The sequence below is a fragment of the Homo sapiens genome, chromosome 11 (genome assembly GCF_000001405.40).
Source record: "Homo sapiens chromosome 11, GRCh38.p14 Primary Assembly".
NCBI lineage: Eukaryota > Metazoa > Chordata > Mammalia > Primates > Hominidae > Homo > Homo sapiens.
Genome location: NC_000011.10, coordinates 75,774,515 through 75,786,832, shown reverse-complemented (window position 1 = coordinate 75,786,832; position 12,318 = coordinate 75,774,515). Strand labels below are relative to the sequence as shown.

At 52.7% G+C, this 12,318-nt stretch overlaps 1 protein-coding gene across 4 annotated transcripts in view, besides 3 other annotated features; it reads right to left on the bottom strand.

Moving 5' to 3' along the window:
- DGAT2 (diacylglycerol O-acyltransferase 2) overlaps positions 1-12,318 on the bottom strand; it is a 32,757-nt gene that overhangs the window by 14,702 nt on the left and 5,737 nt on the right. For 3 of the 4 annotated variants that reach the window (NM_032564.5, XM_011545304.3, XM_047427716.1), the window contains exon 2: positions 2,087-2,215. The exons of the other annotated variant lie outside the window; for it this stretch is intronic. In NM_032564.5, coding sequence (NP_115953.2) covers positions 2,087-2,215 — 129 coding nt within the window. The remainder of the gene's footprint in view (positions 1-2,086; positions 2,216-12,318) is intronic. 4 annotated transcript variants of the gene reach the window in all.
- Positions 95-389: a silencer, noted in NCBI's record as "tiled region #10576; K562 Repressive non-DNase unmatched - State 23:Low". NCBI's record gives its function as "represses a minimal TATA promoter and a strong SV40 promoter by Sharpr-MPRA in K562 cells {active_cell/tissue: K562}" and the evidence as "EXISTENCE:reporter gene assay evidence [ECO:0000049][PMID:27701403]".
- Positions 4,855-5,421: an enhancer, noted in NCBI's record as "H3K4me1 hESC enhancer chr11:75492457-75493023 (GRCh37/hg19 assembly coordinates)". NCBI's record gives its function as "activates a minimal SCP1, AML or CMV promoter by ChIP-STARR-seq in primed H9 embryonic stem cells {active_cell/tissue: H9 hESC(primed)}" and the evidence as "EXISTENCE:reporter gene assay evidence [ECO:0000049][PMID:30033119]".
- Positions 9,685-9,973: a silencer, noted in NCBI's record as "fragment chr11:75487905-75488193 (GRCh37/hg19 assembly coordinates)". NCBI's record gives its function as "represses an EF-1alpha promoter that drives an FKBP-Casp9 reporter gene in an ReSE screen in HepG2 liver carcinoma cells {active_cell/tissue: HepG2}" and the evidence as "EXISTENCE:reporter gene assay evidence [ECO:0000049][PMID:32094911]".

Sequence of the window (12,318 nt, the reverse complement as noted above, 5' to 3'; positions counted from 1 at the left end):
CATGGCACAAAGTGGTGAAAAATCTCTGGTCCAGGGAGAGACCAACAGGGCCACCACGGTCTTTGCTTGCCAGGTGAGCTTCTGCCAGCAGGTTTGAGAGGCAGAGGGAAGGAGTGGCTGGGGCTGCTGAGGGCAGTAATTAGCAGTAGCTCAGGAGATCTGCCTGTCCAACGAGGCCAGGTTCCCACCTATGCGAGGCGAGGCGAGGTGAGGCCAGGCGAGGGTGTTGAGAAGATGCTGGGCCGGTTTCTGGGCTGTGGTTGGGTCTGATCAATTATTAACCTATAGCCTGGGGCCAGTCCCCATCACATGCTGCGTGAGCTGGTGTTCTACAAGCTGCTCAGCTCCCTACCAGCCAGGCCCAGACCCATTAAGACAGGGATAGTGGTAGCTTTGGGGTGCAACAGGGAACAAAGAGAGCTGGTGTAGCAGACTAGGCAGGGGGTCTGGGAGGCTGGAGTCCCTGGGTTCTTGTCCTGGTCCCAGTACTTTCTTCTCATGTGACCCCAAGTAAGGCTCCATCCTCGCCAGGCCTCCACTTCCTTTTTTAACAAGAAGGGGTCACACTGTGCTCACTACTCTAGGATTCTAGTAAGTGGCCAAATGCAAGCCATGTTAGGGGTCTGAGTCCTGAGGGAGACTGTTTAGTTTGCTCAGTTCTTCCAACCAGTGTTTGTCTTCTTGAGGCTACCTGTCCCTGTAAGACTTTGAGGACAGCTATGGCCCTTCTCCCCAGAAAAATGTGCACATACTCATATATAATCTTGCATCTAATTTTAAGGGTTCATGGATCCCCCCACTCAAAGCCCGTTCTTGGGCCTAAAGGTGAAGACTGGCTGTTTCAGCCCCAGTTCACTAATTCTGGGCTTCCAGGAATGTGGGCTCCCTGGGGAATGCACTGAGTTTCTGCTAAAATCCCAACTCTGCCATTTAATGAGCTTCACAGTAGCAGGTAGTTGATGAACCTTTGTGAATTTGCATTTTCTCACCTGTGAAGTTCTATCCCTTGGCCCTGCAAACATGGTCTCAGTCTCAGAGCGCCCCATGCACCTGCCTGAAGGACAGCTGCTCAGCACTGACATGGTAAGTCCTGATGATCCCCTACCAGCCTATACAGTCCCGAAGAGTGGGTTGCCCAGAGGGACTGGCTCACAGGCACTGGAATGCACTCTGTGATGCTCTGGAGCAGGTTCATCTGCCTTGACGTGCTGAGGAAGCTACCTGCTATGCTGAGAGCACAGGGGTCTGGGGAAAAACAAGAGGCTTCTTCCCTCCCCTCAGACATTCGTGTTGTCCTGCCCCTGGCCTGGATGGCAACCTAAGGAGTGAGGGTATCTAGCCAGACCTGCAGAAAAAGCAACCAAAGCACCGATGTGGGCTGTGCTGAGAGATAGCAGGGAGCAGGCCTCGGGAAGCACCTGGGGAATGTGCTCAGCTGAGGATGGGTGTGGGCTGGGAGTGGGGTCTGAGGGCACCTCCCGATGATTCCCATGTAATGGGGGCCCATCATGACCAGGCCCTGTGCCAGGTGCTCTCATTTCTTATCTTCAATCCTCAAAAAAGCCATGTGAAGCAGGCACTTTCCTCACACTCAAAATGAGGAAACTAACACTCAGAGAGCTCAAATAACCTGTGTAAGGTCACAGAGCTTGTCTGCAGGAGATTCAGGACTTAAACCTGGCACCAAACCACCTTAAGGCAAAGTAACATACCTGCTGGAAAATGTCTGTTGGTGGGCAGGGTGGCATTGTGGGAAAGGCACAGGCTTTGGGGGTCCTGTAGACAGGGATTCAAATCTGTGTGACCTTGGGCAAGTTACCTATCTTCTCTAAGACTTGAGGTTTCCCATCTGTAAATGGGAACTATCACACCACCTCCCACTGAATCTTGCTGAATCTTCATGCATGCTGAGGGGTAGAGCACTTGATCTGGGACCCAAAAGATAGATGTGGAAAGGTGCTGTGGGGCAGCATGTGTAAGAGTTACTCTTATTCCCTCACCCCTGTAGAGCAGGGCTCCTGCTCTACCTCTTTTGGGGAAGTGGACACTGCCTGCCCACCTGCCCTCCCTCTAAGGCCCAGCTTACCCAGTACAAGGAAGGACAGGACCCACTGGAGCACTGAGATGACCTGTAGCTGCTTTTCCACCTTGGACCTATTGAGCCAGGTGACAGAGAAGAGGTCCTGGAGGGCGGAGAGGATGCTGGATCCAGTGCCTACAGCAGAGGGAAGATGTCAGTCCACTGTCACCCTTCTCTCCAGTCATGGGGTCCCCAGTACAAACCTCACCTCCCACAGGTACCCTTCTAGATATGAGAAGAGCATCAGCTATAGAATCAGACAGACCTGGGTTCAGATCCTAGCCCTCCACCTCATGGCTTTGTAACTCTGGGCTGTCTGCATGCTCCCCTGTGCCCTGGTTTCTATAGATACACAATGGGAATGGTATCGCACTCGGGGTCATTTTGGAGACCACATGAAGTATCTAAAGAGGCTAGTCCAAGGGCTAGGCCTTGGGAAGTCTCTCATAATTGCCAGTTCTCTCCCATCCCCTCCACCCCAGTCAAACTCCTGTCCCTTATCTGAATCTAGTACAAATATTTAATTTTGCTATCTGTCTGTGAGGCCAAGGACAGAGGTTCAACATCCAATTTGCAATGGTTTTTTTTCTCCAAGTGTACTTTGAGCATCCCCAATCCCTGCTCTGCCTTCTGTATGTCCCAGACTAATACCCCTTCTCCAAGGAGCTGAACCCTCTTGCCCCCACCCCCAACACCACTGATTCCCCACACCACTACCACTTTCAGAGAGATGTAAATGTTCAGCCTCATCTCAGTGCCCAAAGCGTGGGGCCCAGAAAGGAGTAAGGTGGGAGCCTTTGCTTCCCCAAAGGGCCCAGTAGCCAGTGAGCTTCAGGCAGCCTGAAGGACACTGAGGGCTGTAATTATGTTCACTATCAATCAAGTGCCAAGCCTGGAAGTTAGGACGAGATGTGCCCACTTAATTGGCTTGGTGCCCCTAGGATGACACCCTGGACTCCAGCAGCTGATGGGCAGTAGGGACAGGAAGCCTGGTGACTGCAGGAGACAGCACTGGGGAAGAGCATGGGTGAAGGTTCCTCACCCATACCCCATTCCTTCCGGCAGCTGAAGAAGTGGGCCACCTCAAACCCCTCTTTGCTGAACCCCCACTACATGCCCTTTGCTCAACACATCTTCACCAAGCACCTACTGTGTGCCCATTAAATATTCCTTCATACCATCTGCTCTGTGAAAGACCCAGAGCACAGATGAGTTAGTCACAATCTTGTCCTTGAGGGTCTCATGACCTTTCAACTGAGCCTACAAGCTGGGAGCAGGGAGAAAGACGGATTTAGGGGCCTACACTCAAGCCTTTGCTTTTCTTCAAAATCTGCAAAGCAACAAAGCCACAGCAGAGTTTAGAAAGATATCTACCCTTATGAGCTGAAAGTTAACAACTGCTTTGACTTTTAGGAGGAAGGAAGGAAATGCTAGGCCTCAAGATGGCCCCTTTCCCTGGTGTGATGCATCAGAGGGAAAGGGCTTAGTTTAGCAGAAGAGTCAAACCTAGGTTCAGACTTTGGTTCTACTCACTATGTGACCCCAGGCAAGCTTGCAGGGTTCACTGCCACATCCTCAGTGCACAAATTGGGTGTTCAGTAGCATCTAATAACACCACTGGCATAACTGGGGTGGAGGCGGCAGGATGTGAACTCACAAAAGCAAATAAAGAGGCTGGGCCATAGAGCCATTCCAGAGGTCTGCCTCATAATTGCTCCTTCGCCCCCTTTACAAAAATCCTACCTTCATAGGACTTTCCCACCTCCAGACTTGCCCAGCAACCCATCTTAGAGCCTGAGAGCCCTCTGGGGTCATCCAGTATAGCCTAATTGGACAGCCAGGGAGACTGGGGACCAGAGACAGGCACTGACTAGCCCAGGGCTACCCAGGCAGTAGGCGGCAGAGCCAGGACTGAAACCCAGCATTCCTGACCCTGCTTAGAGGACCTCCCCTTTCCCCAGAGCAGCTCTGAGTGCAAAGGCTCTGTACACAGGACACAGTCGGAGGGTCATGCTCAGGGCCTGGTCAACCTGCCCAGCAGTGGGACCTGGCCAGATGAGTTCATCACATGCTTATCCTTGAGGGTCTCATAACCTTTCACCTTCACCTACAAGTGGGACAGGACTGGGTGAGTATATAAGGGAGGGAAGTGAAGTCCAAGCACAGGCTTGAACCCTTGATCCAAGGGCTGGGGCTGGACAAGTCATCTTCCAGCAGCTGGCTCTGCCTCCTGAGCCATGCTGGATGAAGTGAAGCAGGAGCCATGGCCACCGGAGGCTGGTTAAGTGGCAGGTGAGTTCCTGTTCCATCTGAGGCAGGCTGGATGCCCTGGCTAGACAGAAGACAAAATGTACTCTAGCACTTTCCTACTCAAAGCGTGGTCTGGGAACAGCAGCATCAGCATCACCTGGGAGCGGGTTAGAAATGCAGGACTTTGGGCTCCAGACTGGATTTACTGAATCAAAATCTGCATTTTAACAAGATCCCCAGGTGATTAAGTCTGAGAAACACCACTATAAATGCTTCAGTCCAAACACTCAGGTAGGGGCTGGGGTGAGACACAGCACCGGGGAACACCACCTTCTATTTGGCAGGAAAAAAAGGCAAAGCATGCCTTCTCGTGGCTGACTTGCTTCCCGTTGCAGACAGGCCCCTGAAGCCAGTGGTTTGAGGGGTGCGTAGGGAAGAGGCATGCTGGGAGTCAACTTATCTAGCTCCCTACCTTGACGCCAGGGCCAGCCCCCATGCAGCTTGGAGGAGGAGTATAGAAATTTCACTGATGACATATCCCCAACTGAAACAACTGAGAAGACCTAAAAATTCTTCATCGTGCCTAATCCAAATCTCTCTGCTAAGCTTATTAGGTGTCTTAAAATTAGGTAAAGTCATAGCGCAGGAAACGCACGCCATCTTGTTCAACCCTCACCCCGTTATACAGACTGGAAATTGAGGGCCTGCGGGAGTCTCCCAAGTCCCGCAGCAAGGTGGGTCTGCAGGCTCAGGCTTTTCCCACACTGCTGGTTCGGTTCTCACCCTGCCTTATCCAGCCCCAACTACCGCCCACAGCTCGCTCTGCCAACAAGTGGGAAATGCAGTCTACCAAGTGAACCCTCACTTCCCATCTGCCTGGGCAACTGTACCGGGACTGCTGCAAGGTGGTGAGCTCTAAGTCCCAAATACCAAATGGCAAGTGCTTCCGTGGGCGTTAGAGTTGGGAGGCTCCTGGAGAGGGAAGCTGGGAGGACTGCACCTCTGCTTTCTCAGGCCCAGGCCCTCTCAGGCAATCCCAACCTGGCTGACCATGGAGGCCGTGGCCTGGGAGCTGGCCTGGCCATGGATGCTGAACCCCGGGCCAGTGGGAGCCCCCAGTCCACCTCAGAAATATTCTAGGCAGAGGCCCTTCCCTGCTTTGCTTACCTGATGATTCCCTGATAATGAGATAAAGCAATACATCCTTCAAAACCCAGAGATGGTGATAAGGCAGCAGTCTTCCAGGAAGCCTTTGGAAAGAGAAGGCCTTTCCTTCTCTGGGATGATAAACACTAAGGTCTATGCAGGCCTGGAATTGCCAGGGGCTATCTTGCCACCCACAGAAATAACCTATTTGAAGATAAAGTCAGACCCGCACAATGGAGAAACAAAAGAGCATCCTCCTCAGGGTTCCCACAGCCTCTGGCCTTGTTCTAACTGCTGATTACAAGCTGATTCTCCATCACACTGGAAGCTGCCCGAAGGCCAGGCCTGGGTCTGATCCATATCTGGATCCCCAGTGCCCTGTCAGGCCAGCCCCAAGGAGGTGCTCTGGCCACTCTTCAGGCCCCCGGAGTTCCCTCCATGCAGGGCTGAGTGAAAGGTATGATGCACAAGAGGCCCATAAAGCTTTGGGAGACCCTCCATGCCCTTGCACAGGCACTTGGACTCCTGTGAGTTTGGCACCAACACCCTATTTTGATGGTGATACCGGGTCAAGGTCACTCAGCCAGATGCTGGCAAAGCTGAACCCAATTCAGGCCCAACCTTCAGGCCTGCATCTGCTCCGATGTTGCATGTCCCCAAGTTCCTTCTCTCTGCTCCCCACAACAAAGCAGGGGGCAGTGGTGGGGAGCTGGAAGGGGAAGGGGAGAAATGAATGATCTGTTTTCCTTCAGAGGGGTGGGTCAGGAGCAGGCATCTTCTACAGCAGGTAGAGTGGCAGCAGGACTTGGGTTTCTAGACCCAGCTCTGCCACCAACTCCCATGCTAAGTCTCCTCACCTCTCTGGGCTTCAGTTTCCCCATCTATGAAATGGGGGTAAGGAGGGTGAAGTCTGTGATCTCTGGCACCCACCCTCCTGAGGACTCCTGTCAGGGTATTTGGGACCTAGAGCTTACCATCTTGCAGTAGTTCTGGTACCGTTGCTCAGGCAGATGGGAAGTGAGGGTTCAGTTGGGCACCCCCAAAACACTGCCAGTCCTTGCCACCTGGCTGTCAGTACTTCCTCTGCCCCAGCTGTGGCTGGGAGGAGTCCAGCAGAAGCTGGTGGGGATGCCGATGCTGCAATCAGATGCCACCACATGCCACCACCTTCACACCCAGTCTGACTGTTCCTGACTCCTGGGTGGGGCCACCAGGGAGCCTCAGCATCCAGCCAAGTCCCTGCTCCTATCTGCCCCCTCACCACATCTGCACTCTCTCTGCACACTCCCACAGCACCAATGTCACTTTACTTGGCCATCCCACTGCCAGTGACGCATGGGTGCCAGGACTTGGTACCTGATTCATCTGTGGTAAGAGGGGCTCATAGAGGTTTACTGCATAGCTGAGCAAATCCATAAGCAAATCCAGAGCAGCCTCAGAGGCAGCTATAGGCCTGGATGCCCAAGTTAGACTGGGCTGCCTGGCAGGAGGCAAAACCAGCCCCATCACTGAGGACTGACCCCAGAGATGGGGGATGAGCCTCTTTTGCCCTCCCTAGGTACAAGTTTCTCCACCTATAAAGGGAACACAACCCTGCTACCTACAGATGTCTCTGTTTTATGGGGGCAGATGAGACAGGCTGTAGGGGAAGATTCCCAACAGAAGACTCAAATGGCTGCTCCCAGGCAGCACTTGCTTTACACACAGCTCATTTGCTCCTACCTTTGGGGAAGGCAGAGGGAGTAGAGCTGCCAGAGAGGCCCAGAGCAGCTCTTTTACCACCCGGAAAGCAATCCCCTTCTCCTGCGCCTATGTGGGGCTTCACCGTCCCACAGCACTCTCTGGGAAGGTAGGCAAGGGGAGAACTGGCAATCCTGTTTCACAGAGAAGGAAACTGAGGTGAGGTGAAGCCCAAAGAGGCAAAATCACTTGCTTGAGGTCAGGGTGTGGGAGCCAGGACTTAAAGAAGGTATTCAGGCTCCCAGTCCCTCATCATCTCTACAATGCTACGCTGTTGAGCGCTGGCCCCACCAAACACGCCAGCCCACACCTGGACTTCAGGAACATATCCTGGCAAAGGAGAGCTCCCTCCTCTGCCCATATCATGCTCAAAGTCTCATGTGGATGTTCTAGTGAGACTGGATTCCACCCCCGCAACCCATGTGCTTTCAAGCAGTTCTCAGACCCAGGGCCCAGCCCAGGGCTGGGGTGTTGAAGGGTGTCTGTGAGCACCTCTTTGCCCAATATCTGATATCAAAGTGACCAGGAAGGCCACACCTCGGGGCTGATGAAACCCAAGTTTTCAGGGCTTCCTCTCACATGCCTGAGGGCAGCAGTGTCTGAGCCCCAACCCCCTAAATCTGAGAAAGAGGGCCCTGGGCCAGCTCTGCCCTTGCCTGGCTCTGTGACCTCGGGCAAGTCACCTAACTCTAGCTTTGGTTTTCTTATCTATAGGATGAGGGTGATAATCCTCACCTCACAGGATTTTGGGGAACATTAAATTTTTTTTTTTTTTTTTTTTTTGAGACGGAGTCCCGATCTGTCGCCCAGGCTGGAGTGCAGTGGTGCGATCTCGACTCGCTGCAACCTCCGCCTCCAGGGTTCACTCCATTCTCCTGCCTCAGCCTCCCGAGTAGCTGGGACTACAGGCACCCGCCACAACGCCCGGCTAATTATTTGTATTTTTGGTAGAGATGGGGTTTCACCATGTTAGCCAGGATGGTCTCGATCTCCTGATCTCGTGATCCGCCCGCCTAGGCCTCCCAAAGTGCTGCGATTACAGGCATGAGCCACCACGCCCAGCCAGGAACATTAAATTTTAAAACGTTTAAGGCACATGTGGCATTTGTTAGGTGATTAAGTGGTGGCTACTGGCATTGCTCCTCCCATCTCCAGAGTGGGAAGGAGTATATGTAGTGAGCAAGCAGAGTTTTTCCAGAGGCTCATGGCCACAGGTCTGTGTTACAAGAAGAGGTCGCAGAGTGATGGTAGCGCAGAGGAGGCTCCAAGGAGGCCATGAGGCTTCGCCAGGGCCCTGAAGACAAGATCTAGGGGTCAAACAGGAGGAAAGTGCGCACTGTGGTTGGGGGAAACTGCTGGAACAAAGCCTTGCAGGGAGTTCTAATGAGGCAGACCCAAATACTCAAGAACCCAGAAAGGGGGGTGAGTGACTGCCTGAAATAGAAGCTGAGAATAAAGAAGTTGGAATGAGTAGTCAAAGGTGGCTTCCTGGGTGAGGTGGGTGGGGACAGAGCTAAGACCCAAGGCATAGAGCACATACAAGGTACTAAGCGCTAATACTAGCCCTGGGGAAACAGCAGTGAGCACAGCAGATGATGTCCTGCCTCAGAGGCAGCTATAGGCCTGGATGCCCAAGTCAGACTGGCTAAAGTTAAGTTAGGATGCTTAACTTCTGCTGAGGGAGAGATAAAACACCTACGTATTAATGTATGATGTAACATCAGGCAGCGACGAGAGCTATGAAGAAAAATAATTTGGGGCAATGAGATAGAGAGAGGGGCAGGAGGATCCCTGGCCTATGGAGAGGAGGCCCTGAGCGTACATGGCGAAGCACTGGTAGACAGAGACTGTGGGCAGCTCACGCCTCTCGAAAGCCCACACCGCGTCCTCCACCCACCTCACCTCCATACTGGCATCTGGCAGGGGACATGCCAACCTGGAGTCAGTGCCGAAAACAGGGGCCGAGAGTCAGGAGAACCTGGCCTCTAACTCGTAGGAAGTGGCCTGGATGAGTCACTTCCTATACAAGCTTCAGCTTCCTCATCTATACAGTGGGGCTAATACCTACCTCACCAGATTGTTGTGGGAATTAAATGAGATAATGTATAGCCAAGAGCTTCATAAAAAGTAAAGATCTCTATGAATGCTGATTAATTACCAAGTAAGCCTCGGTGTCCTCTCCTGTTTGATGGGTAAAATAATGCCTGCCCTGCCTAGGAACAGAGGCGTAGGCGACAGGCTAACTTAGGATTCAAACCCTGGCTCTGATTCTTACCTGCAATGAGACCTTGCAAATCACTCCCTGTCCCTGGGACTCAGTGTCCTCCTTAGCTTTAATCCAGGATTGTCATAAGGAATCTAAATAACTTAGGGAAAAGGGCCAGAATGTCTGGCATCAATGTGAGAGAGCCAGAAAGATGCCAGCTAAGAGAGGTGTGAACAGCCTCTTGGGCTCCTTGAGGCAGGGGTGGGGGTGGGGGTCACCCTGCCCACATCCCCAACCCCAAGGATGCCACACCTGGGCCCATCTGGACCTAATGTCTGCCCTGGGTCTAGGTGAGTGAGAAAGTCACCCCCAAGTTACCCCCAAAGAGCTGAGGACAAGTTGCACGGAGACAGAGAGAGCAAACAGTTTTTTAAGAGGTGCACAGTAACAGGTTGTATATTATGAGGAGAGGTAGCAGAGTGAGGGTCAGTACATATTGACCCCTAGCAGGCTCTTCCAGCCCCAGGGAGGTCTAGGAAGTCAGGCCAAGTGCCAAAGAGATGCCACTTCATCAAGGCTGGAGGTGAGCTCTCTTCCAGGCTCCTCCAGGCAGACACCTTTCAGCGGGAGTCCACACACATGATGATGAGAGGCCGGTCATGGCAAAGCTGCCATCTCTGGAGGGTCATGCCCACTGCTATTAGAATCCCAGGCCAGGGCTGGGCTCCCGTAAGCCTCACACAGGAAGCTGTCTCCACTTGGTGCCTCACCATGTGCTCAGCCAGAGACTCGTTCCCTCCAGGAAGGAGGGACTTCACTGCAGTGCCTCCAGGTAGAGTTCTATTGCTTCTAAGTCTAGTTTGGTCAGTCTTTTAGCACATGCATACCAGGCATCCACCAGGCACTGAGCACTGGCCTGCTAGAGACCAACCTGTTGACTCTTTCTCTGGAAAGTCTTCCTTCTCCTCCACCTGGGTTGGATTGACCGCATCCCTGCCTGTCCCATCTCACCCCTGTACTCAGCCCTTTCTCATTATGGGAAAAGGTATGTGTGTGCATTTGCAGGGACCATGTCTCATTCATCTGGGCCCTGGTGCTCAGCACAGGGTCAGGCGCAGAGAAGGTGCTCGATCGATGTTTGCTGAATGACTGAATGCTTGAGAGGACTGTGATGAATAAACAGGGCCTAGACAAAGATAGAAAAAAGTCCACCCACAGCTGACTGACCTGTGCCATGATGGAGGGTCAAGCAGAGCTTTCTGGGGAATCAGGAGGGAAAGGTCTTCTCCAGCTGGAGGGTGGTTAATGTCGGGGCAATGGTGGAAGGCCCCAGAGGAAGGGAGAGAGAAGGGTGGAACCCAAACACTAACATTCATACCAGTGCTTTCTAAGTACCCTTTACACCCCAGGCTCCACACCAGGAGGGGAGCTTCTAGACTCTGCTTCTCCTCTGCTTCTTGGGCATCTGCTAGAGGCTGAGTTCTGCTCCTGGGCTGCCCACCCAAGATATGGCTGGGAGACAAAGCTGCGAACAATTATACATAAAGGATCAGTCAGGACTAGGAATCCAGGGGAGGCCCCAACCCCCACAGGAGGGTGTTCTTAGGGATGCCTTCCAGGAGGAAGGTACAGGGGCAGGATCCCAGAAGGCATTGCAAAGGCCCGAAACAGAGAGAAGACAAGTTTGAGGAATTAACTGCAAGCAGTTTAGTCAGACTGCAGCACAGAGACTGTGAGTCTAGTTGGAAAAGTAGAGAAACAGGGAGGCATGAAGGACTGGGATGCTAGGTCTAGGAGTCCTGGCCTCTACCCTGAAGGCAGAGAAGACAGCCAGTCAGAGCTCACTCCCTCCACTGGTGCCTAAGAGCCCTAGGGCAGCTAGCTAGCTATAGAACTGGTCCCAAAACGCCAGTGAGTTCTTTTCTGAAAAGATTAACAATTCGCTTTAACGGTTCTGTTTTGCAAATGAGGTATCCTTAAAGCAGGGCCCACTGGGACATCTGGCCCAAAGGGGAAGCCAAACTACTGGAGAGCCAGCACACAGCTATGCTAGGTGTGCCAGGTGGGAAGTGGGCCATCAGGACCCTGCAGGCACTGTCAGTCCTCAGGGCCTGCTGCAGGGAGCCAGGCATCCTGAGCATCTGTAGACCTGCAGGGGCGCTAAGCCTCTTCCTCCCCTCTCTAGGTTTCCCCATTAGCACTAAATTAGGAAGCTGGGGTGGATTTGTTGAAATCTGAGTGCTGCTAACTTGGGCCACCTGTGCTCTGCTAGAATCCACAAATGAATTTTTATCCACAGAAGATCTCCCGAAAGGGAATATAAGCCCATCCTCGGGCTACTCCATACACCTGGGTTTTTGTGTATTCCGTTTTCATCAAGTAGAACTTTCACAAAGTTCCAAGAGGTAAGGCCAAGGAAGTGAGACTCTTAGAATGCCATGTTCCTGATACCGAACATGGATCTACATCCAGGACCCTGGACATGATTGCTGAGGACCCCAGGGGCCCACTTCCCCCACCCCACCCACTGTGACCAAGCACATTCAAAAAGTAGCTACTGCAGTGGAAGGGGCTGCCATGGCAACACTACTAGCTTGCGAGTAGGTCACCAAGGAATCTCCAAAATACGTCCCCATCACAATATATGGGCAAGCATGGGGAGACAGGTTCTTCTGGGGCACTTACCTTGGCCCCAAGTGGATGAGTGCACCATTTTCACAAGGAGAAGCTGAGGACAAGAATGAGGAGGTGGCTGACCTCAAGAGTCCCACAGCAGTTAGGGACAAGAATGGAATCGCATTTCTCCAGCAGGGATGTAAGGAAGCCAAGGGGGTCATCTCAACCAGTCCTCCTCACTGTGCAGATGAGAAGGCTGAGGCCCTAAGAGGCAGTGTTA